This window comes from Homo sapiens, chromosome 19 (genome assembly GCF_000001405.40).
Source record: "Homo sapiens chromosome 19, GRCh38.p14 Primary Assembly".
In the NCBI taxonomy this organism is placed as follows: domain Eukaryota; kingdom Metazoa; phylum Chordata; class Mammalia; order Primates; family Hominidae; genus Homo; species Homo sapiens.
Genome location: NC_000019.10, coordinates 55,364,117 through 55,385,522, shown reverse-complemented (window position 1 = coordinate 55,385,522; position 21,406 = coordinate 55,364,117). Strand labels below are relative to the sequence as shown.

Below are 21,406 nucleotides of genomic sequence, written 5' to 3'. Positions count from 1 at the left end.
TATTTCCGGTCTTCGTAAGCCCTCGCGGTGATGGCCAATGAGGGCGCCGAGGCCCGCTCGGGTATTTTCGGAACCCTCCGGAAACGCTCTTGGGAGAGGTGTGTATGTTCGGAAATACTCCGTCTTCATTCGGAATCCCTCGGCTAATCCTGGCAGCCCTCTTGCAGTTCGCCCTCCCCAGGGTTTTCTTGAAATAAAACTCTTAAACTGTTTAAGCCTGGGGAGAACCTACACGGAAACTTCTCGCTGACTGCCACCCCAGGGGAGCGCGGATGCCCTCTAAGGGAGAATTGTTTGGAGGGAGGGAGATTTGCATGTGGCTTCTCTTGGCTCCCTTTAGGATTCTATAGATTTGCCGGTCCTCTTCCCTGCCCTCCACCTGTGCCTCCAGCCTATGGTGTGCCTGTCACACCCCATCAGCTCCCTGGGAGGTTATGATCCGTTGTCAGGGCCACCCTAAGGGGGCAGGAGCCTTGCCTGATATTTCTCTGTGTCCTCGGCCTCACCCACGCGGCATGGTGCTGGGGAGGCCTCAGAGACTCCTACTGAACAAAAGGAATGAGGGTGCCTGTGTCACCTCCCCAGGGCTCCTTAACTTGCGGTTACACCCGGGCACTCCTTGGGGCAGGGGCTTCGTCTGGTCCATAGGACTATCCTCCATAGGACAGTCGGGGTTCGCCCAGCTTCCTCCACGGGTGCGCTCTGGACCTGATGGGTCTCGTCCGTCCTTGTGCCCGTGGCTTCATTCGCTGAACACAGGAGACCCCAGAAGACACGCGCTGAGTGAAGGAAACTCAGCTTCCGCGGAACCCGGAGCTTCCCCTCTTAGATCACCCCGACTACTGGTTCTCGCGTCCCAGAGCTCCTTGGTGTCTAAAGGCCTTGTCTGATCTGCACTGTCTGATCTGCACAGGCTTCGGGAGGCGGACACTGAGCAGAAACAACGCCACGCCCGGCTCCGAGTGTCCCATGCTGCCACCACTAAAATGCCCTGATTTTTGGCCATATGTGACCTCCCTGGGTGGCACGGGCCCTAGGCACCCGTGGCTGTGCGCCTGGCTACCACCAGCTCAGGCCTCTGAGCAATAGCCCCTGCACGGAAACCACGACCAGGGTAACCCCGGCCGCGCCGGTTCGCGCCCAGCCCGGTTCAGGTGACCAGGCGGGAGCTTGGCACACCTGGCGCCGTCCCCTGACCCCGCCCCGGACCGGGCCGCACCCCGGAACGCTCTCTCTGGGCGCCAGCGGCGGCGGTGCAGGGCCATGGCGGCGGCGCCAGCGGTGTGCGCCTCGCAGGGGAGCCCGCCGGGTGCACCGTCCGCGCCGGCGGCCGCGCCAGCACCCGCGGCCGGCCTGGGCCGCTGCCGGATGGCGCTGCTGCTGGCCGTGGCGCTGGATGTGGCGGGCATGGCGGCGCTGCTGACCGGCGTGTTCGCGCAGCTGCAGGTGCGCGGCCGCGACTTCGGGGACCTGCTCATCTACTCGGGCGCGCTGCTGGTGTTCCTGAGCCTGCTGGGCTGGATCCTCTGGTACACCGGCAACATCGAGATCTCGCGCCAGGAGCTGGAGCGCGACTACGGCCTGCGGCCCTCGGCGCTCGCCCGCCTGGCGCGCAAGCTCTCCCGCCGCTGGTCGGCGCCCGCCGCCGCGGGCCAGCGCCCCGCGCCCGGCTCCCGGAGAGCGCGCCGAGCCGCCCGCGCGCCCCCGCCGCCCGCCGCCGGCTCCCGCCGCGTGCGCCTGCAGCTCGCCACGCTCGAGGCCGGGCCCGGGGCGGCGGGCGCGGGCAGCGAGTGAGGCCCAGGTGAGGGGCGGGCGGGGCAGGGCGGGGAGACGGAGGGACCGAGGGAGGGACGGGAATGGAGACAGACGGGGGAGCGATGGACAGATGGAGACAGAGAGCGGCCATGGGGAGGTAGAGTCCCAGGGCGGGGTGGAGACAGGGACGGGAAGGCTCTGGCGGAGAACCGCAGACACAGCAAGCACAGGTGCATACGTGGGGGAGGCTGTGAGACCCTGCCCCTGGAGATGGGAAGTGTGGGGGTCGAGTCACACAGTTAGGCCCCCCGCACGGGGAGAGCCCCAGCTTCCAGGTACACCAGGCCCCATTTTTTGTTTTGTTTTGTTTTGTTGTCGTTTGGGGTTGTTTTGAGACAGGATCTCTCACTGTCACCCAGGCTGGAGTGCAGTGGCGTGATCTCAGCTCACAGCAGCCTCGACCTCCTAGGCTCAAGCAGTCCTCCCACCTGAGCCTCCCAAGTAGCTGAGAATACATGTGCGCCCCACCTTGCCGGGCTAATTTTTGTATATTTAGTAGAGACGGGGTTTTGCCATGTGGGCCAGGTTGGTCCCCACCTCCTGAGCTCATGCGATTTGCTCTCCTCAGCCTCCCAAAGTGCTGGGATTACAGGCGTGAGCCACTGAGCCCAGACCAGGCCCCATTTAATCCTCTCCATGTAACTGGTCTCCAAGGTCACTACTATTACCATCCCCATTCTGCAGTGGAGGAAACTGAAGCGCAGAAAGGCGCCACATTTGCCCAAGGCCACACAACACGTAGGTGGAGGAGCTGGGATTCTCCTGACCTGTAGGCCTAGGAAAAGAGGAGCTGGGATTCTCCTGACCTGTAGGCCTAGGAAAGGAGGAGCTGGGATTTTCCTGACCTGTAGGCCTAGAAAAGGAGGAGTAAGAAGGACCAACAGCAGGAGAAATGAAGCCACCACACATTCACTCCCCTTTCCCCTCTACCTTCTATCTCTTTCCTAAACACACCTTTCCAGCTAGCCTGCCTCTGCTCAAAGACCTGCTGTGGCTCCCTCTTCACCTTTGGTTAAACTGAAGCACTCACTGGCCTGTGGACCCCCCATATTTTGGCCCCATTTCTCCTGCCTCTCTGCACTAATGGTGTCTCTTAGTCCACAGATAGCCAGTTGGTCCCTGTTCCTGCTCTTCTCTACACCAGGAGTGCCCTTGGCTGTCTCCACTCCACCCAGAAAACTTCTCACATGTTTAAGATTTAACTTAATTTCTCTGGGTCTTCTCTGGGTCTTCATATTGTCTGAGCGACCCCTCTTGCTGCTTATATGGCCATGTGCTGTGTCTATGTTGTTACTGTCTCTCCCACCTGACAGGGAGTGCCTTGAGGGTAAGACCTAGGTCCCTAGCGTCCTTGTTCCTAGCATTGCCCAGCAAAAAGTGTGAAATCAGGAAAGGTTGATGGTTGGGTAGGGAAGTGGAAGGATGGATGGAAGAACGGATGGCTGGATGGGTGGATGGGTAGATGGATGGGTGGATGGATGGATGAGTTGGTTGATGGATGCATGGGTGAATGGATGATAGATTGATAGATGGGTGGGTGGGTGGATGGGTAGATCGATGGGTGCGTGGATGGATGAGTTGTTTGATGGATGGATGGGTGAATGCATAGATGGGTGGGTGGTTGGATAGGTGGATGGGTAGATGGATGGGTGGATGGACGGGTGAATGGACAGATGGGTGGGTGGGTGGATGGGTGAATACATGGGTTGGTTGATGCAGGGATGTGGTTGGATTGACGGATGGATGGGTTGTTTAATGGGTAGATATGGGTAGGTGGTGAATTGGGCAATGAACCATGAATGGATATGGTTGGAGAGGGAGCCCTGCCTGATAAAGGGGCAAGAGCTTTTCCTGATACTTCTCTGTGTCCTCGGCCTCACCCATGCAGCATGGTACTGGGGAGGCCTCAGAGACTCCTACTGAACAAAAGAAATGAGGGTGCCTGTGTCACCTCCCCAGGGCACCTTAACTTGCGGTTACACCTGGGAACTCCTTGGGGCAGGGGCCTCGGCTGGTCCATAGGACTATCCATAGGACAGTCAGAGTTTGCCCAGCCTCTGTGCGCTCTCTGGATAGATAGGTAGATGGGTGAATGGGTAGTTGAATAGATGGTTGGGGCTGAATGATAAGTACACAGATGAGTGGATGAATGCATTTAATGGCACATGGATGGTTGGGTGACTGAATTCATCTCTCAAATAGGGTTTTGGTAAAAGAATTAAACCCTATTATCCTAGGACGTTCTATGTAGGTAAATAATTAACTTTTTTTTTTTTTTTTTTTTTTTTTGAGATGGAGTTACACTCTTGTTGTCCAGGCTGGAGTGCAGTGGCGCAATCTCGGCTCACTGCAACCTCTGCCTCCCGCGTTCAAGCAATTCTCTTGCCTCAGCTTCCCGAGTAGCTGGGATTACAGGCATGCACCCCCACACCTGGCTAATTTTGTATTTTTAGTAGAGACGGGGTTTCTCCATGTTGGTCAGGCTGGTCTCAAACTCCCGATCTCGGGTGATCCGCCCACCTCGGCCACCCAAAGTGCTGGGATTACAGGCGTGAACCACCGTGCCCGGCTGGAATTAACTTTTCTCCTATGCATCCAGAATGCTACCAGTTATATATTATTCTTTGTGAGATTTGGGGAAATAGTCACCCCAATCATATGCTACGTGCCGTGATTCAGTGAAGGAACTGGGGTAAGAAAGCATGAACATCTGCTTGCACGGGTGAAGCGTAAGCTAACATGAAGCTTGGCATAGAATGCAAACATAAGCACCTGTAGTTACTGTTACCTTTGGAAATCCTGGCTGAGCACAGTGGCTCATGCCTGTAATCCCAGCACTTTGGGAGGCCGAGGTGGGAGAATTGCTTGCTTGAACCTGGGAGGCAAAGGCTGCAGTGAGCCAAGATCACGCCACTGCACTCCAGCCTGAGTGACAGAGTGAGAACCCGTCTCAAAAAAAGAAAGAAAAGAACATCCTTTATGAGGTTGGGCATGGTGGCTCATGCCTGTAATCCCAGCACTTTGGGAGGCCGAGGCGGGTGGATCACCTGAGGTCAGGAGTTCGAGACCAACCTGGCAACCATGGTGAAACCCTGTCTCTACTAAAAATACAAAAATTAGCCAGGCATGGTGGCGGACGCCTGTAATCCCAGCTACTAGGGAGGCTGAGGCAGGAGAATCACTTGAATCTGGGAGGCGGAGGTTGCAGTGAACCAAGATCGTGCCACTGCACTCCAGCTTGGGCAACAGAGCAAGACTCCATCTCAAAAAAAGAAAAGGAGAGGAGAGGAGGGGAGGGGAGGGGAGGAGGGGGGAAGGGGGAGGGGAGGGGGAAGCAGGGAGGGAAGGGGGGAAGGGAGGGGAGGGGGAAGGGGGAAGGGGGAGGGGACGGGCAAGGGGGGAGGGGAGGGGGGAAGGGGGGAGGGGAGGGGAGGGGAGGAGAGGAGAATCCTTTACGTAGCTTAAACGTCTAACACAGCTGCACAGGCCTCCACTCTTGGAGCCTCCACCAAAGACTCAGACCACACTGACTCGAACGTAGGCCCCACTTAGAGGAAAATGGGCCTGTTCAAACCCAGGACTCTTGTTTACTGGGGAGAGTGAGCAGCTTCCAGCGCATGAAAGACAGAGAACCTGAATTTTAGCAGAGGGACCCACAGGTTCTGGCTCTGGTACCCCCACAACCTCCGAGACCACCATGAGTAGCCGGGCAGAGCCACCCCCATCACTCTGTTGTTCAGGCTGGAGAGCAGTGGTGCAATCACAGCTCACTGCAGCCTCCACCTCCTGGGCTCAAGCAATCCTCCCACCTCAGCCTCCCAAGGAACTGGGACTACAGGTACCAGAGACGGGGTCTTCCTATGTTACCCAGGCTGGTGTCAAACTCCTGGGCTCAAGTGATCCTCCTGCCTGCAGCCAAAATGCTGGGGTGAGGGTCTGAGATGAGGACCACGATGCCCGGCCTCCTTCTGTCTTCACTGTGTCTGCCTGTCTCCCTCTCTCTCACTCTTTGTCTCTGTGTCTCTGTCTCCCAGGTCTCTTTCTTTGTCCCTGTGCTTCTGCCTTTCCCCTTCTGCATGTCTTCGTCTCCCCCTTTCTGCCTCTCCCTGGCTCGCATTCCCTGGCCTCTACCCTTGGATTTCAGGGCGTTAAAGGTACACACGCATGCACACACTCAGCAAATGGGGGCATGCAGGGATGAAGGAGCAAGTGTGTGAGTCCATGTGAGCGGCAAGGGCAGGCGGATGGGGCTCCCTGCCTCTGCCCCCGCAGGCAGAGAGCCCGGAACAGGGATGGGAGGGGTTCCTGAGCAGTCGCTCACTCCACCCTCCCTCCTGCAGACAACCCCTTGGCTCCAGCTGTCAGGACCAGACTGAGATGTGCAGCTGCCCCTACATCCGTGGCCAGACGGACGCTCCCTGTACCCCCTCCCTCCTCACTTGGATAAAAAGCAGATTTGCCTTAGTGCTGCATGTCTGTCTGGGAGAGGGACCCTGCTGGGGTGGGAATGGAGACGAGGTGGCTTGCTTCCTTCTAGCACCCAGGTGGGCCTGGCCACACCTGAGGTGAGGCTGCCCCTGCCCTGGGGAGACCAGGAGCCCTGGGGATATAGGAGCCTAGCCTTATGCTGGCCCCTTCTCAGAGGGGGCCAGAGAGGGGGCGGGGGATAAGGATCTTAGCCCAGACCCTCCACTCTAAGCCCCAACATCCCTGTGTGAGTTTGGGTTCACTGAGAAGCAGACACAGAGACAAACTGGACTTGCAAGATATGTCTTGGGGAAACACTTTTGTAGGGTAGCTTGGTGCAGGGAGAGGGAGGGAGGGATGGGTAGGACTAGTCTTAGACTGTACCGCACCTCCAAGAAAATTGCCACTGGCCCCTGGGGAGCTGGGAGCTGAAGTCATCGTCCATGAGGGAGGCCCCTGCCCTTCGAGAAGGCACCTGTACCCGGAACCCCCACCCCTTGCCTCGCCATGCTCAGTTATTGGTGGAGAGCAACCCATGGTAATCTAGGTGCATCTGGGGTGGGGGCGGGGGGCACTGTCAGTCACTGGCACTCCATGTAGGAGACTGAGGGGCACGTTTCCACAGCTGTGGCGTGCCCCTCTCCCCACCCAGTCCAGGCACCCCTCAGACCCCACCACCCCCACATACCCCCAACTCCCTCATTTCAGACCCGCACTCCAGCACTCGTACACCTCTATCCCCTCAGTCCAGGGTCCCCATGATCACAGCCCAGGACACCCCCATGAGCGCAGATCCCCCTCAGCTCGGATCCTCCCCACTTACCTCCCAGATCTCTCTCATTCCAGGCTCCCCCTCAGCTCACACCCCCACGACCACAGCCTGGCGCCCCCTAAGCCTCCATCCCCAAGCCCCCTCCAGCCCCCACCTGTTACCCCAGCCTCTGTGTGCACCATGCCCCCTGCTCCCCACGGCTTTCAGAGAAGAGAACACACGTCCGTCCACCGTATCTGTATTGAGCAGTCCCCCGGGGACTCCCCTAATCCTCCTCTTCCTCGCCCTCTGTCTCCTCACCCTCCTCCGTCCCTTCCCCCTCGGTGCCTCCCTCCACATCCCTGGACTCTTTGGACAGGGCGACTGGCACGCTGCCCGTGGACGGCGTCTTCTTGGTCCCTCGGTGCTTGGAGAGCAGCGAGACGGACTTGGACATGTCACACGGACCCGCCAGGAAACCGGGCATATGCAGCACGTCCCGGCGCTTGGCCCACCTGCAGGGAGCGGACGGCTCAGCCCCCGCCCTCCGCCGGACCCTCCCCCTGGGGGTGCAGGCGCCCGCCCTATCCCAGGCCCACTCGCCAGAACAAGCAGATGCTGCAGCTCAGGAGGAGGAGGCCGCTGCACGTCCAGACCAGCGCCCACATGTGCTTCCTCCGCACGTTTTCTGGACAAGGGAGGCAGGGTTAAGACCCGGGGCTCCCGACCGCCAGACCCACGCCCCAGGGACCTGGGGCCAGGAGCCCTCACCGTCTGGACGCTGGTGGTAGCAGACCCCATTGCGGTAGCAGCACCGGAGACGCAGGCAGAGGTTGGGGCTATCGATGGCCGCCTGGCCCCCACAGCTCTCCCGGTCCCATATGTCACCCTCACAGCCTGGGGACCAACCACCAGTGGCTTGCTTCATCACAGCGCTCCGCTCCGAAGGCCTCATACACGAGATTCCAAGGCCATGCTCCCAGGCTGCCTTCCTGGTGCTTACTCTGTGCAGGGCCCCAGGGGTCCAGACTCCACCCCCTCCTCCCTCAGACCCAGGAGTCCAGGCCCCAGCCCCCTCCTTCAGACCCAGGAGTCCAGGCCCAGCCCCTCCTCCCTCAGACCCAGGAGTCCAGGCCCCAGCCCCCTCCTTCAGACCCAGGAGTCCAGGCCCAGCCCCTCCTCCCTCAGACCCAGGAGTCCAGGCCCCAGCCCCTCCTCCCTCACACCCAGGAGTCCAGGTCCAGCCCTCCTCCCTCAGACCAAGGAATCCAGGACCCCAGCCCCTCCTCCCTCAGATCCAGGGATCCAGGCCCCCAGCCCCTCCTCCCTCAGACCCAGGAGTCCAGACCCCCCCGTCCTCCCTCAGATCCAGGAGTCCAGGCCCCAGCTCCTCCTCCCTCAGATTCAGGGGTCTGATCTGGGCTCCCCTCCCTGGGTGACCCAGTATTTCAGCGGCTGCTCACTCCATGGGTAGAAGAATCCCTGGATTCCATTTCCGTCTGCGAGAGAAAGGGCAGTGTTAGGGCTGTGTGGAGCCGGGCGTCCCTCCTCAGCTCCCCCGCCTCACCAGCCCCTCACCTGCCGAGCCCTGCAGCAGCAGGAGCAGGCCCAGCGCTGGGATCCCACAGCCCAACATGTCACCTCCCCAGACCCCTGGGGCCACTGTGGGAAGAGGCCTTACAGGACATCACCCCAGCAACCGGCCCCGCCCGCCTGCCCGCCAGGCCCCAGGATTGTGAGTTCTGTTGCTAGGGAGTCAGGGGTGTGCTACGGACGTGGAAGGGCTTCACACCAGCCTGGCCATGCCTGGTCTAGGGTGTTGATTCTTTAGGGACCTGGTGGAAGAGTGGGGGCGTCTCAGGTTTAGAAGAGCCTCTTTGGCCACTTATGGTGGGAAAGAGAAGTCTGGAAGGGCGTGGGAGTCTGGGGCGTGTCTCCATATCACCCGGGGCGCCCTGAGGGGTGGGGAACTGGGAGGCTTTGCTAGGGAGTTTCTTTCCTAAGGAAACTGATACCTGAGAAGGTGGATTCGGGTGGCCCGAAGGTTCAGGAAACCCCGTTGCTAGGGAGTTTTTCGCCTTAACAACCAGGGGAAGGGGAGCTGTGAGACACAGAGGCCTCACTGAGCCCCATTGTTAGGGAAAGTCCCCCCCGCAATGAGAAGACCTGGGAGGGGGATGAGACAAGGGGCCGGAGCCTAAGTCCGGGGGTCTCCTGGTCCAGGGGTCTTGAGAAAGGCTTTTCATCTCAGCCCTGCCAGGCCTGCTGTCTAGGGAATGTTTAGCAGGGAAGGTGATAGGGCTGGGCGCGGTGGCTCACGCCTATAACCCCAGCACTTTGGGAAGCCAAGGCAGGCGGGTCACCTGAGGTCAGGAGTTCGAGACCAGACTGGCCAACATGGGGAAGCCCCGTCCCTACTAAAAATACAAAAATCAGCTGGGCGTGGTGATTACTTGCCTGTAATCCCAGCTACTCGGGAGGCTGAGGCAGGAGGATTGCTTGAACCCAGGAGGTGGAGGTTGCTTGAACCCAGAAAGTGGAGGTTACAGTGAGTCGAGATCGTGCCACTGCACTCTAGCCTGGGTGAAGGAGTGAGACTCTGTGTCAAAAAAAAAAAAGAAAAAAGAAAAAAAAAACAAACAGGGAAGGGGACAGGCCATGTGGGCCCCTGCTGAGTTTGAGGGCCTGGTGGGCCAGAGCTGCTCGGAGACTGTAATGGTGGCTCCTGGACAGGGAGCCCACATTTCCCTCCTGGATTTGTTTCCCCATCTGTGAACAGAGGTTAGGGAGTGGTGGGAGGGAGTCGGCTAAACGGAGATCCTGAAGCTTCCACATTGATTCCCCCCACCACTCCCCAGTGACTGAGAGAAAACTTGGCTTCCAAGAAGAGGAAACCGGAATGGGGGGCTGGGTTGGAACCATAATCCCTAGTGCACCCCAACTCATCCATTCAGCTTTGCAGCACAGTGAGGAGGGAGTCTTAGCTCCCTGGGACAGTCTCTGGGCTAGAAGTCCTGCATCTGAAGGAAAAGGGGGTTGTAAACTCAGACACCTGCATTAGAGGGAGAAGGGGCTGGAGCCTGGACTCCTGGGTCTGAGGGAGGAGGGGCTGGGGGCCTGGACTCCCGGGTCTGAGGGAGGAGGGGCTAGAGCCTGGACTCCTGGGTCTGAGGGAGGAGGGGCTGGGGGCCTGGACTCCTGGGTCTGAGGGAGGAGGGGCTGGGGGTTCCCAGACTCCTGGGTCTGAGGGAGAAGGGGCGGGAGCCTGGACTCCTGGGTCTGAGGGAGGAGGGGCTGGGGCCCTGGACTCCTGGGTCTGAGGGAGGAGGGGCTGGGGGGTCCCGGACTCCTGGGTCTGAGGGAGGAGGGGCTGGGGGCCTGGACTCCTGGGTCTGAGGGAGGAGGAGCTGGGGGGTCCGGGTCCGGGACTCCTGGGTCTGAGGGAGGAGGGGCTGGGGGCCTGGACTCCTGGGTCTGAGGGAGGAGGAGCTGGGGGGTCCCGGACTCCTGGGTCTGAGGGAGGAGGGGCTGGGGGCCTGGACTCCTGGGTCTGAGGGAGGAGGGGCTGGGGGGTCCCAGACTCCTAGGTCTGAGGGCTGGACTCCCAGGTCTGAAGGATGGGGCTGGGAGCCAGAATTGGGTCTGAGGGAGGAATGCCTGGGGACCTGGACTCCTGGGTCTGAGGGAGGAGGGGCTGGGGGCCTGAACTTGTGAGTCTGGGAGGATGGTCTAGGAGCCAGACCCCATTTCTCAGGAAGCCCCGTGGGGTGACTCCCCGTGTTACCCATCTCTCCTGTAAACATCCTGGTGGGTACTGAGTGGGCCCCGGGCTGCCTTCGTCAGAGATGACACAGGTTAGAGGGGGCTCTGCAGGGGGCCGGGGGTGAGGGTCAGAGGGGTTGTGGGGCTGAGGCCGGGCAGCTGCTGACCGTTTCCTGTGTCAACATCATCTGGACCCACTTCCCAATTCCCGGGATTCCTCAGGGATCAAGGAGGGGGTGGGGGGCGGGGCCGCCTGGCCTTGGACCGCGGCTTGGGACTGGGGGGGCCCCGCCGTCACGGCCCTCACCGCTAATGACAGGTTTGGGCTGCCTCTGTGGCCGGCCTGCCCCGTCACCCCCCAGAGGCCAGACGGGACCCCCCAGGGACTGACAGACGGACACACACACAGCCTGGGACCTGCTGACCTCACACCCTGCCGGCTCGGCTTCCCCCCGGGGCCGCGCGGGAGCCAGGACTCCCTGGCCATCCCCCATGTCCCCGAGGCTTCTCCTCAGTGTCTGTGACCACCCCAGGGCCTGGGCCCTGGCTGCCCAGTCTGTTTCCGAGCCTCCAAGCTGGTCTCTAGCTTCCACTGGGTTCCGTGGCGCTGGCTGCCTCCTGGGGCCTTTGCTGCCCCTGTCTCTCCAGCTCTGTTTGTCTCTGTCATCTGTCATTTTCTTGGGACTCCCCAGTCCTGCCTCTGGGTTTCTTTTCCGATCTTCATCTCTTGCTCTGTCTCTCTCTCTCTCTCTTTCTCTTGTTTGCACAGAAGTAGCCCAATGTGTCCCACCCTGGCCTGGGCAGACCCAGGAGTTGCCAGTCACTCCCAGCCCCGTCACTCTGCACCCGCCCCATCTACCTGTACCTCCTGCAGCCACACTGCGGGGACGGAGTCTGAGCCCACAACCCAGGGCTGGGGACCCAGACGAGACAGGAAACTGGCAGCGGCTGGGACCCCAGATTTGTCCCAGACCCATTACCTTCCCCACACATGCTCCCCAAAGTGCAGAAGGGCCCCAAGATCCTCCTCTACCTTTCTTGAACTAGAATTTAGGGCCTGGACTCCTGGGTCTGAGGGAGGAAGGCCTGGGAGCCTGGACTCCTGGGTCTGAGGGAGGAGGGGTTGGGGGCCTGGACTCCTGGGTGTGAGGGAGGAGGGGCTGGGCCTGAACTCCTGTGTCTGAAGGAGGAGGGGCTGGGCCTGGACTCCCGGGTCTGAGGGAGGAGGGGCTGGGCCTGGACTCCCAGGTGTGAGGGAGGAGGGGTTGGGGACCTGGACTCCCGGGTCTGAGGGAGGAGGGGCTGGGGGCCTGGACTCCCGGGTCTGCAGGAGGAGGGGTTGGGGGCCTGGACTCCTGGGTCTGAGGGAGGAGGGGCTGGGCCTAGACTCTTGGGTCTGAGGGAGGAGGAGCTGGGGGTCTAGACTCCTGGGTCTGAGGGAGGAGGGCCTGGGGGCCTGGACTCCTGGATCTGAGGGAGGAATGGCTGGGGCCTGGACTCCTGGGTCTGAGGGAGGAGGAGCTGGAGACCTGGACTCCTGGGTCTGAAGGGGAAGGGGTTGGGGGCCTGGACTCCCGGGTCTGAGGGAGGAGGGGCTGGGGGATTGGGCTCTGGTCCCTGTAGGTGGACGGGGCTGGCATTACCAGAACCCTTTTCTTGCTCCCCAGCTGGCCCCAGGCCAGTCCCCCATACCCTCGGGCTAGTCCATCCCCCAAGCTGGTGGCCTGAGTCACCTTGGCTGGTCCCGCCGGTCTGGGGGGGGCTACGTCAGCTCTCCCCTCACTGACGCAGCCTTGGGCCCCCCACACTGACTCAGCCGGAAGCAGGCCCCCTGAGGGGCGGAGACCCGGTGGTCAGAGGCCTGGGTCCCAGCAGGAGCTGGTGCTGGGGAAGGCCCCTGGGGGGCCCTGAAAGGGGTGGCTGTGACAGACCAGAGAGAGGGAGAGAGAGCTCTTACCTGAGGCGATGAGGTCATGTCCCACCGTGGGGGGGCTGTGACCTCACCTCCTTGGGGACCTGAGCAGTTGCCCTTCCAGTGGTGCTGGATTGGGAAGGGGAAGCCTCCAACCAGCCCGGCAGTCTCGGAGGCTGACACGAGGGGGTCTGCACAGAGCCTCAGAGCCCCCACCACCTCCGCGCTCTCAGTCCCATCCTGTCCTTCCCTGCCATCTAGGTCTGGGGGCTCTCGGGGACATGGCTTGGTACCTCTGCCCCTCGCTTGCTCTGTGGTGAATCCCGGGTCTCCTCTGCCCCCATGCCTGGGGCTGGCCCACTGTGAGCCTGGGTAGGCGTCGCTGCCTCCCCCCTGGCCTGTGGGTCCCCTCCCCCCTGCACTCCTCTCCTGCCTCCACCTCTGTGCGGTGACGTCCAGGGCTCTGGCCCCGGTGGTTCTGGCCACTGTCTCCGTGTCCCCACTGTCCCGTCTTCACCCCATCTTGCTCCTGCCCCATCTCTCTCGAAGGCGACATCTTTTTCTCTGTGTCCCTGATGTGTTCAGAAAAGTTAACGAGGGGAATAAGGATGGTCAGCACTGACTTTGTGCTTCACGTGAATGAGCTCGCTTTATCCTCATCGTGGCATTTAGGCGGATGAGGGTGCATCATTAACCCCCCTTCACAGATGAGGAAACTGAGGCACAGAGGGGGAGAGTCGCACATGGAGGTCTTGCCTCTATGGAGTGTCTCAGCGCCTCTTGGTCCTCAGTCTCCGTCTCTCCTCCTCCTTCCTGTCTCCACCTGCCTCTTTGAGAAAGGCTTTTCAAAAGGCCAGGCGTGGTGGTTCACACCTGTATTCCCACCACTTTGGGAGGCTGAGGCGGGAGGATGACCTGAGCTCAGGAGTTTGAGACCAGCCTGGGCAACATGGCAAAACCCTATCTCTACTAAAAATACAAAAAATAGCCAGGCATGGTGGCGGGTGCCTGTAATCCCAGCTACTCAGGAGGCTGAGGCATGAGAATCACTTGAACCTGGGAGGCGGAGGTTACAGTGAGCTGAGATCACACCACTGCACCCCAGCCTGGGTGACACAGCGAGACTCTGTCTCAAAAAAACCAAAAACGAGGCCAGGCACGGTAGCTCACACCTGTCATCCCAGCACTTTGGGAGGCCGAGGCAGGCGGATCACGAAGTCAGGAGTTCGAGACCAGCCTGGCCAACATGGTAAGACCCCGTCTCTACTAAAAATACAAAATTAGCCGGGTGTGGTGGCGCACACCTGTAATCCCAGCTACTTGGGAGGCTGAGGCAGGAGAATCGCTTGAACCCGGGAGGTGGAGGTTGCAGTGAGCTGAGATTGTGCCATTGATCGCGCCATTGCACTCCAGCCTGGGTGACAGAGTGAGACTCAGTACCAAAAAACAAACAAACAAAAAACAAACAAAAAATGAGAAAGGCTTTTACTCTCTGCCCCCATTGCTGAGTCCCCAACATCTCAGCGTCTCTGTCTTTCTAATATCTCTGTCTCCCCTTTTCTGTCCCTGGGGCCTCTCCGTCCCTGTCACTCTGCCCCGTGTCTCTGTTTGCCTGGTGCCTTTCTTCAGCTGCGGCATCCTCTGTCTCAGAGTCTTGGTGTCTCTGTTCCTTTCCCCTCGGGGTCTCCCTGGGTCTCCCCAAGTCCCTCCTGCTGTCTTCCTCCCGCTCTCTGATCTCTGACTCCCAGAACCTCTCCCTCTGTCTCCAGGGCTGCCCCTCTGATCCTCTTTGCTTCTCTGGTGTGTCTCTCTGGCTGCCTCCATCTCTGTGGATCTCCATCTCCCTGTCTCTGTCTCAGTCTGTCCTTCACTCTGTGTGTGTGTGTGTCTCTCTCTCTCTCCTTCCCTTCCACTCCCTCTTCCTCCTGCCTCCACCTCTCCAGGCCCCTGTCTTGTCCCTCCGTCCGGCCTTTCTCTGCCTTTCCGTCCTCCTGCCTCCCCATCTCTCTCTGCTAGTCCTGGTCCAGCCGGACCCCCACCCACAGTCGGGCCCCAGCGCTTGAGCCTGAGTGTCTGCTCCGGCCCGTGGAGGTGGAGGGAGGGGACGCCAATGACCTCACCAGCCCCTCTCCGACCACCCCCCCCTTTCCCTTTTCAACTTTTCCAACTTTTCCTTCCGTGCCCTCCTCCGAGCGCGGCGGCGTGAGCCCTGCAAGGCAGCCGCTCCGTCTGAATGGAAAAGGCAGGCAGGGAGGGTGAGTCAGGATGTGTCAGGCCGCCCTCCCCTGCCGCCTGCCCCCCGCCCGCCCGCCCCAGCCCCCTATATAACCCCCCAGGCGTCCACACTCCCTCACTGCCGCGGCCCTGCTGCTCAGGGCACATGCCTCCCCTCCCCAGGCCGCGGCCCAGCTGACCCTCGGGGCTCCCCCGGCAGCGGACAGGGAAGGGTTAAAGGCCCCCGGCTCCCTGCCCCCTGCCCTGGGGAACCCCTGGCCCTGTGGGGACATGAACTGTAAGTTGGTTCATGGGGAGGGTGGAGGGGACAGGGAGGCAGGGAGGAGAGGGACCCACGGCGGGGGTGGGAGCAGACCCCGCTGAGTCGCACAGAGAGGGACCCGGAGACAGGCAGCCGGGGAGGAGAGCAGCTTCGGAGACAGGAGGCGGCGGAGGAGATGGGCAGAGAGAGACACAGACAGGAGCGGATGGAGGCAGCCAATCAGAGGCGCCGCAGGAGGGACGGGCCAGACAGGGCCCCGAGAGGGAGCGAGACGCGGAGACCGAGCAGGGGCAGGGACGCAGGGACTGGTGCCGGGAGGGAGGTGACCCCCATCGACCCAGGCCCCAGGGAGCCCGCGGGGACCGGGAGACTCCCTGGGATTCCGGCAGAGAGGCTCCGGAGGGAAACTGAGGCAGGGTCCGCGGAGAGCGGAGCAAGCCAGGGAGTAGCGACCCCAGCCGGGGGGAGGAGAGAGACTGGGCGCGGGGGGAAAGCGGGGAGAGCCGGGCAGATGCGGCCGACGGAGGCGCGGACAGACCGACGGCTGGCGGGCCCGGGGGGCGGGCTGGGGGTGTGCGAGGCGCGGGCGGCCGGGGAGCGCTGATTGGCTGGCGGGTGGCCGGGTGGGCGGGGCGGCCGGGGTGGGCTGCGGGGAGCGAGCTCCGGACCCCCGCGCCCCCCGCGCCCCCCGCGCCCCCCGCCGCCAGCTCTCCCGCTCCCGCGGCCCGGCCGGGCCCATGGCTCTGCCCCTCTCCGCCCAGGTGCGCTGCGGCCCGGGCTTCTGCCGCCCACCCGGCGGGGCTCCTGGGAGGGCGTCTAAGGGGTCTCCCGTGGGAGAGGTCCGTGTCTCCCGGGCTCCGTCCTGGCTTCTGGCTCCTTCCCCTGCTCCCAGCCAGCTCGGGCTCCCGCGGCCCGGGGAGGGGGCAGGTTCTGGCCTGTGCCTCCCCCACCATGCCCCGCCCCGGGGCCCAGATTCCGGCGTCCGGGGGCGGACGGGAGACGCCCGGCCCGTCTACCCGCCCCGGGCCGCGTCTGCTCCGACGGGCGGGGCAGCCAGAGCCAGGGAGGGAGAGGGAAGCCCGCCTGGCCCTGCGACCTGCCCGCGGGCGTTCCACCCTGGGACTTAAGACCTCCAGCTCCATCCTCCCTAAGGCCGGGAGTCCAGGCCCCAGACCCTCCTCCCCGAGACCCAGGAGTCCAGACCCCAGGCCTTCCTCCCTCAGACCTAGGAGTCCAGGCCCCCAGCCTCTCCTCCCTCAGACCCAGGAGGAGTCCAGACCCCAGTTCCTCCTCCCTCAGACCCGGGAGTCCAGGCCCAGGCCCTCCTCTCTCAGACCCGGAGTCCAGCCTGAGCTCTCTGCCTTATCCTGCCCCCAGGTGTTTGCCGCCTGGTCCTGGTCGTGCTGAGCCTGTGGCCAGATACAGCTGTCGCCCCTGGGCCACCACCTGGCCCCCCTCGAGTTTCCCCAGACCCTCGGGCCGAGCTGGACAGCACCGTGCTCCTGACCCGCTCTCTCCTGGCGGACACGCGGCAGCTGGCTGCACAGCTGGTAGGAGAGACTGGGCTGGGGCCAGCACAGGAGTGAGAGGCAGAGAGGAACGGAGAGGAGTCTGCGGGCAGCCACTTGGAGGGGTTCTGGGCTCTCAGGTGGCAGAGTGAGGGAGGGGAAGAGTTGGGGGCCTGGCGTGGGGGATGGAGGGAGCCCCGAGGCTGGGCAGGGGCCACCTCACAGCTTTTTTCCCTGCCAGAGGGACAAATTCCCAGCTGACGGGGACCACAACCTGGATTCCCTGCCCACCCTGGCCATGAGTGCGGGGGCACTGGGAGCTCTACAGGTAAGGGCAAGGGAGTGGGCTGGGGACAAGGTGGGAGGCAGGCAGTGAAGGGGGCGGGGAGGATGAGGGGCACTGGTCGGGTGTTCTCTGATGTCCCGGCTCTATCCCCAGCTCCCAGGTGTGCTGACAAGGCTGCGAGCGGACCTACTGTCCTACCTGCGGCACGTGCAGTGGCTGCGCCGGGCAGGTGGCTCTTCCCTGAAGACCCTGGAGCCCGAGCTGGGCACCCTGCAGGCCCGACTGGACCGGCTGCTGCGCCGGCTGCAGCTCCTGGTATGTCCTGGCCCCAAGACCTGACACCCCAGACCCCCACCCCTGGCCCCAAAATCCTGTGGCCTGAGTCCTTGAAGCCTGAGACCCCAGACCCGAGTGCAACAGCCCCGCTCTGAGACCCTGACACCCTAACAGCCCGCTCTGAGACCCTGACACCGTAACAGCCCCGCTCTGAGACCCTGACCCTAACAGTCCTGCTCTGAGACCCTGACCCTGCAGTCCCAAGATCCTGTGGCCCTGAGACCCTGAGGCCCTAGACCCCCAAATCCTGCCCAGAAACTTCAAATTCTCACCCAAGACCCTGAGACTCCATCATCCATGACCTCAAAGTCCCCAGATCCCAGCCCCTAAGACCCAAGACCCCATCCTGAAGCCCAAAGCCTTGAGAATTCAAATCCTCACCTCAAGACTTGGAGACCCTGGCCCCATGACATTGAAAACCATGGACCTGGCCAGGCGTGGTGGCTCACGCCTGTAATCCCAGCACTTTGGGAGGCCGAGGCAAGTGGATCACCTGAGGTCGGGAGTTCAAGACCAGCCAGACCAACATGGTGAAACCCTGTCTCTACTAAAAATACAAAATTAGCCAGGCGTGGTGGTGCATGCCTGTAATCCCAGCTACTTGGGAGGCTGAGGCAGGAGAATCGCTTGAACCTGGGAGGCGGAGGTTGCAGTGAGCCGAGATCGCACCATTACACTCCAGCCTGGGCAACAAGAGCAAAACTCCCTCTCTCTCAAAAAAAAAAAAAAAAAAAAAAAGAAGGAAAAGAAAACCATGGACCTCCAGACCCTGAGACCCCAGGCCCCAGCCCTGAGATCCTGACATCTTAAAGATCCCAGGCCCTAAGATACAAGACCTTGACCCAAAGCCAGCCTTGGGACCCTGGCTGTACAAACCCAAGACCTCCAGGACCTAGACCCCGAGCCCTGAGGCCCTATGTCTCACTCCCAACATCGAAAACCCTGACACCTCAGATCCTGAGCCTGCGCCTGTACGACTCCAAGACCCTCACTTCCAAAGCCAGGCCCAAAGCCCTGAGACCAGAAGACTTCAAACCCTGGTTCTTGGGCCTAACTCCAAAGACCCTGGATCTCAAATTCCAACTTCTAGCTCTGAGACTCCAGCCCTCACCCATGAGTTCCTGAACTTGAACCCAGAGACCCCATCTCTAAGACTTCAGCCTTGAGATCCAGGGCCTGACCCTAGACTCGAGCCCACAGACCTCAGATACTGTCTGTAAAACCCCAGCTCTGGTGGGGAGCAGTGGCTCACTCCTGTAATCCCAAGGCAGGGGAGGCCAAGGCAGAAGGACCTCTTGAGGCCATGAGTTTGAGACAGCCTGGGCAGCATAGCAAGACTCTGTTTCTTAATTATTATTATTATTATTATTTTTTGGAGACAGAGTCTCGCGCTCTGTTGCCCAGGCTAGAGTGCAATGGTGCCATTTCGGCTCGCTGGAACCTCCGCCTCCTGGGCTCAAGCGATTCTCCTGCCTCAGCCTCCTGAGTAGCTGGGACTTCAGGTGCACACTGCCACACCCGGATAATTTTTTTGTATTTTAGTAGACACAGGGTTTCACCGTGTTGCCCAGGCTGGTCACAAACTCCTGAGCTCAGGCCATCCGCCCGCCTCGGCCTCCCAAAGCGCTGGGATAACAGGCGTGAGCCCCCGCGCCTGGCTTCTTAATTGTTCTAACAGCAGCCACAACAACAAAAACCCAGCTCTGAGATTCCAGCCCCGGCGACTCTAACAGTCCCAGGCCCGATCCCTCACCTAGAACCGAGATGCCAGCCCTGACTCCACAGACTTCACCCCCAACCCCCACACTCAGCTCTGGAAGCCCGTCCTGACTCCAGCCTCCATTTTCGGAACCCCACAGCCTGAAGAGCTCCCGGCCTAAACACTTCACCCCACGCGCCACAGTCCCCCTGTGAATATGCAGCCCCGATTCAGCTGCAGCTCCACAGCACCCCTGCCCTGCACCCCCGCTGCACCCCCTACCTGTGACTCACCTCTCTCCTCTCCCCACAGATGTCCCGCCTGGCCCTGCCCCAGCCACCCCCGGACCCGCCGGCGCCCCCGCTGGCGCCCCCCTCCTCAGCCTGGGGGGGCATCAGGGCCGCCCACGCCATCCTGGGGGGGCTGCACCTGACACTTGACTGGGCCGTGAGGGGACTGCTGCTGCTGAAGACTCGGCTGTGACCCGGGGCCCAAAGCCACCACCGTCCTTCCAAAGCCAGATCTTATTTATTTATTTATTTCAGTACTGGGGGCGAAACAGCCAGGTGATCCCCCCGCCATTATCTCCCCCTAGTTAGAGACAGTCCTTCCGTGAGGCCTGGGGGGCATCTGTGCCTTATTTATACTTATTTATTTCAGGAGCAGGGGTGGGAGGCAGGTGGACTCCTGGGTCCCCGAGGAGGAGGGGACTGGGGTCCCGGATTCTTGGGTCTCCAAGAAGTCTGTCCACAGACTTCTGCCCTGGCTCTTCCCCATCTAGGCCTGGGCAGGAACATATATTATTTATTTAAGCAATTACTTTTCATGTTGGGGTGGGGACGGAGGGGAAAGGGAAGCCTGGGTTTTTGTACAAAAATGTGAGAAACCTTTGTGAGACAGAGAACAGGGAATTAAATGTGTCATACATATCCACTTGAGGGCGATTTGTCTGAGAGCTGGGGCTGGATGCTTGGGTAACTGGGGCAGGGCAGGTGGAGGGGAGACCTCCATTCAGGTGGAGGTCCCGAGTGGGCGGGGCAGCGACTGGGAGATGGGTCGGTCACCCAGACAGCTCTGTGGAGGCAGGGTCTGAGCCTTGCCTGGGGCCCCGCACTGCATAGGGCCTTTTGTTTGTTTTTTGAGATGGAGTCTCGCTCTGTTGCCTAGGCTGGAGTGCAGTGAGGCAATCTGAGGTCACTGCAACCTCCACCTCCCGGGTTCAAGCAATTCTCCTGCCTCAGCCTCCCGATTAGCTGGGATCACAGGTGTGCACCACCATGCCCAGCTAATTATTTATTTCTTTTGTATTTTTAGTAGAGACAGGGTTTCACCATGTTGGCCAGGCTGGTTTCGAACTCCTGACCTCAGGTGATCCTCCTGCCTCGGCCTCCCAAAGTGCTGGGATTACAGGTGTGAGCCACCACACCTGACCCATAGGTCTTCAATAAATATTTAATGGAAGGTTCCACAAGTCACCCTGTGATCAACAGTACCCGTATGGGACAAAGCTGCAAGGTCAAGATGGTTCATTATGGCTGTGTTCACCATAGCAAACTGGAAACAATCTAGATATCCAACAGTGAGGGTTAAGCAACATGGTGCATCTGTGGATAGAACGCCACCCAGCCGCCCGGAGCAGGGACTGTCATTCAGGGAGGCTAAGGAGAGAGGCTTGCTTGGGATATAGAAAGATATCCTGACATTGGCCAGGCATGGTGGCTCACGCCTGTAATCCTGGCACTTTGGGAGGACGAAGCGAGTGGATCACTGAAGTCCAAGAGTTCGAGACCGGCCTGCGAGACATGGCAAAACCCTGTCTCAAAAAAGAAAGAATGATGTCCTGACATGAAACAGCAGGCTACAAAACCACTGCATGCTGTGATCCCAATTTTGTGTTTTTCTTTCTATATATGGATTAAAACAAAAATCCTAAAGGGAAATACGCCAAAATGTTGACAATGACTGTCTCCAGGTCAAAGGAGAGAGGTGGGATTGTGGGTGACTTTTAATGTGTATGATTGTCTGTATTTTACAGAATTTCTGCCATGACTGTGTATTTTGCATGACACATTTTAAAAATAATAAACACTATTTTTAGAATAACAGAATATCAGCCTCCTCCTCTCCAAAAATAAGCCCTCAGGAGGGGACAAAGTTGACCGCTGATTGAGCCTGTCAGGGCTGTGCACTAAGTGTGGGCTTTTTACTTACACAATCCTCCTGGACTCTTGAATACGCCCTGTTTTACAGGCGAGGGAAACTGAGTCTCAGACAAGGAGTGGGGACTCTGTTGCACAAAGTCACACAGCTAGGGAGAGGTGGAAGTGGGATTCTGCGCCGTGTCTGGCTCTTTCCCAAAGCTCTCTTTGCAAG

The 21,406-nt window shown here is 60.5% G+C and overlaps 3 protein-coding genes across 5 annotated transcripts, besides 14 other annotated features; 2 read left to right on the top strand and 1 right to left on the bottom strand.

The window, feature by feature from the left end:
* Positions 546-615: an enhancer, noted in NCBI's record as "active region_15093". NCBI's record gives its function as "activates an Ori minimal core promoter by ATAC-STARR-seq in GM12878 lymphoblastoid cells {active_cell/tissue: GM12878}" and the evidence as "EXISTENCE:reporter gene assay evidence [ECO:0000049][PMID:35858748]".
* Positions 646-715: an enhancer, noted in NCBI's record as "active region_15092". NCBI's record gives its function as "activates an Ori minimal core promoter by ATAC-STARR-seq in GM12878 lymphoblastoid cells {active_cell/tissue: GM12878}" and the evidence as "EXISTENCE:reporter gene assay evidence [ECO:0000049][PMID:35858748]".
* Positions 646-1,631: a biological region, named in NCBI's record as "H3K27ac-H3K4me1 hESC enhancer GRCh37_chr19:55895260-55896222".
* Positions 669-1,631: an enhancer, noted in NCBI's record as "H3K27ac-H3K4me1 hESC enhancer chr19:55895260-55896222 (GRCh37/hg19 assembly coordinates)". NCBI's record gives its function as "activates a minimal SCP1, AML or CMV promoter by ChIP-STARR-seq in primed H9 embryonic stem cells {active_cell/tissue: H9 hESC(primed)}" and the evidence as "EXISTENCE:reporter gene assay evidence [ECO:0000049][PMID:30033119]".
* Positions 1,006-1,345: a silencer, noted in NCBI's record as "silent region_11028". NCBI's record gives its function as "represses an Ori minimal core promoter by ATAC-STARR-seq in GM12878 lymphoblastoid cells {active_cell/tissue: GM12878}" and the evidence as "EXISTENCE:reporter gene assay evidence [ECO:0000049][PMID:35858748]".
* On the top strand, positions 1,231-6,279 carry TMEM238 (transmembrane protein 238). The gene is made up of 2 exons (NM_001190764.2): positions 1,231-1,801; positions 6,156-6,279. Exon 1 carries the CDS (start codon positions 1,264-1,266, stop codon positions 1,792-1,794), a length of 531 nt encoding a protein of 176 aa, NP_001177693.1. The 5' UTR covers positions 1,231-1,263; the 3' UTR covers positions 1,795-1,801; positions 6,156-6,279.
* Positions 1,636-1,725: a silencer, noted in NCBI's record as "silent region_11027". NCBI's record gives its function as "represses an Ori minimal core promoter by ATAC-STARR-seq in GM12878 lymphoblastoid cells {active_cell/tissue: GM12878}" and the evidence as "EXISTENCE:reporter gene assay evidence [ECO:0000049][PMID:35858748]".
* Positions 5,728-6,228: an enhancer, noted in NCBI's record as "H3K4me1 hESC enhancer chr19:55890663-55891163 (GRCh37/hg19 assembly coordinates)". NCBI's record gives its function as "activates a minimal SCP1, AML or CMV promoter by ChIP-STARR-seq in primed H9 embryonic stem cells {active_cell/tissue: H9 hESC(primed)}" and the evidence as "EXISTENCE:reporter gene assay evidence [ECO:0000049][PMID:30033119]".
* TMEM190 (transmembrane protein 190) lies at positions 7,277-8,697 on the bottom strand. Of its 2 annotated transcripts, NM_139172.3 has the most exons (5): positions 8,612-8,697; positions 8,497-8,532; positions 7,805-7,930; positions 7,637-7,721; positions 7,277-7,548 (listed from the first exon to the last, which is right to left on the bottom strand). In NM_139172.3, exons 1-5 carry the CDS (start codon positions 8,667-8,669, stop codon positions 7,320-7,322), a joined length of 534 nt encoding a protein of 177 aa, NP_631911.1. In that variant the 5' UTR covers positions 8,670-8,697; the 3' UTR covers positions 7,277-7,319. The 2 variants fall into 2 exon arrangements, with proteins under 2 accessions (NP_631911.1, XP_016881820.1); XM_017026331.2 differs by lacking the exon at positions 7,805-7,930.
* Positions 10,751-10,972: a silencer, noted in NCBI's record as "fragment chr19:55885919-55886140 (GRCh37/hg19 assembly coordinates)". NCBI's record gives its function as "represses an EF-1alpha promoter that drives an FKBP-Casp9 reporter gene in an ReSE screen in K562 erythroleukemia cells {active_cell/tissue: K562}" and the evidence as "EXISTENCE:reporter gene assay evidence [ECO:0000049][PMID:32094911]".
* Positions 12,367-13,364: a transcriptional cis regulatory region, noted in NCBI's record as "candidate enhancer chr19.6204 targeted for multiplex CRISPR interference". NCBI's record gives its function as "positively regulates UBE2S gene expression in K562 cells {active_cell/tissue: K562}" and the evidence as "EXISTENCE:mutant phenotype evidence [ECO:0000015][PMID:30612741]".
* Positions 12,367-13,544: a biological region, named in NCBI's record as "CRISPRi-validated cis-regulatory element chr19.6204". NCBI's record gives its function as "regulatory_interactions: UBE2S".
* Positions 12,641-13,544: an enhancer, noted in NCBI's record as "H3K4me1 hESC enhancer chr19:55883347-55884250 (GRCh37/hg19 assembly coordinates)". NCBI's record gives its function as "activates a minimal SCP1, AML or CMV promoter by ChIP-STARR-seq in naive H9 embryonic stem cells {active_cell/tissue: H9 hESC(naive)}" and the evidence as "EXISTENCE:reporter gene assay evidence [ECO:0000049][PMID:30033119]".
* Positions 14,280-15,120: an enhancer, noted in NCBI's record as "H3K4me1 hESC enhancer chr19:55881771-55882611 (GRCh37/hg19 assembly coordinates)". NCBI's record gives its function as "activates a minimal SCP1, AML or CMV promoter by ChIP-STARR-seq in primed H9 embryonic stem cells {active_cell/tissue: H9 hESC(primed)}" and the evidence as "EXISTENCE:reporter gene assay evidence [ECO:0000049][PMID:30033119]".
* On the top strand, positions 15,060-21,141 carry IL11 (interleukin 11). Of its 2 annotated transcripts, NM_000641.4 has the most exons (5): positions 15,060-15,219; positions 16,582-16,754; positions 16,954-17,040; positions 17,152-17,313; positions 19,346-21,141. In NM_000641.4, exons 1-5 carry the CDS (start codon positions 15,213-15,215, stop codon positions 19,514-19,516), a joined length of 600 nt encoding a protein of 199 aa, NP_000632.1. In that variant the 5' UTR covers positions 15,060-15,212; the 3' UTR covers positions 19,517-21,141. The 2 variants fall into 2 exon arrangements, with proteins under 2 accessions (NP_000632.1, NP_001254647.1); NM_001267718.2 differs by lacking the exon at positions 16,582-16,754.
* Positions 15,964-16,805: an enhancer, noted in NCBI's record as "H3K27ac-H3K4me1 hESC enhancer chr19:55880086-55880927 (GRCh37/hg19 assembly coordinates)". NCBI's record gives its function as "activates a minimal SCP1, AML or CMV promoter by ChIP-STARR-seq in naive H9 embryonic stem cells {active_cell/tissue: H9 hESC(naive)}" and the evidence as "EXISTENCE:reporter gene assay evidence [ECO:0000049][PMID:30033119]".
* Positions 16,118-16,297: a silencer, noted in NCBI's record as "silent region_11026". NCBI's record gives its function as "represses an Ori minimal core promoter by ATAC-STARR-seq in GM12878 lymphoblastoid cells {active_cell/tissue: GM12878}" and the evidence as "EXISTENCE:reporter gene assay evidence [ECO:0000049][PMID:35858748]".
* Positions 21,142-21,406: the final 265 nt, after the last annotated feature.

Excerpts from the sequence above, each read along its gene's own strand:
- TMEM238 (NM_001190764.2), top strand. The coding sequence starts at position 1,264 with ATGGCGGCGGCGCCAGCGGTGTGCGCCTCGCAGGGGAGCCCGCCGGGT.
- TMEM190 (NM_139172.3), bottom strand. The coding sequence starts at position 8,669 with ATGTTGGGCTGTGGGATCCCAGCGCTGGGCCTGCTCCTGCTGCTGCAG. Across the intron at positions 8,533-8,611 it reads GCTGCTGCAGGGCTCGGCAG|ACGGAAATGGAATCCAGGGA; the intron begins GTGAGGGGCTGG and ends TTTCTCTCGCAG. Across the intron at positions 7,549-7,636 it reads TGCAGCATCTGCTTGTTCTG|GTGGGCCAAGCGCCGGGACG; the intron begins GCGAGTGGGCCT and ends CGCTCCCTGCAG.
- IL11 (NM_000641.4), top strand. Across the intron at positions 16,755-16,953 it reads GGCAGCTGGCTGCACAGCTG|AGGGACAAATTCCCAGCTGA; the intron begins GTAGGAGAGACT and ends TTTCCCTGCCAG. Across the intron at positions 17,041-17,151 it reads GGGCACTGGGAGCTCTACAG|CTCCCAGGTGTGCTGACAAG; the intron begins GTAAGGGCAAGG and ends CTCTATCCCCAG.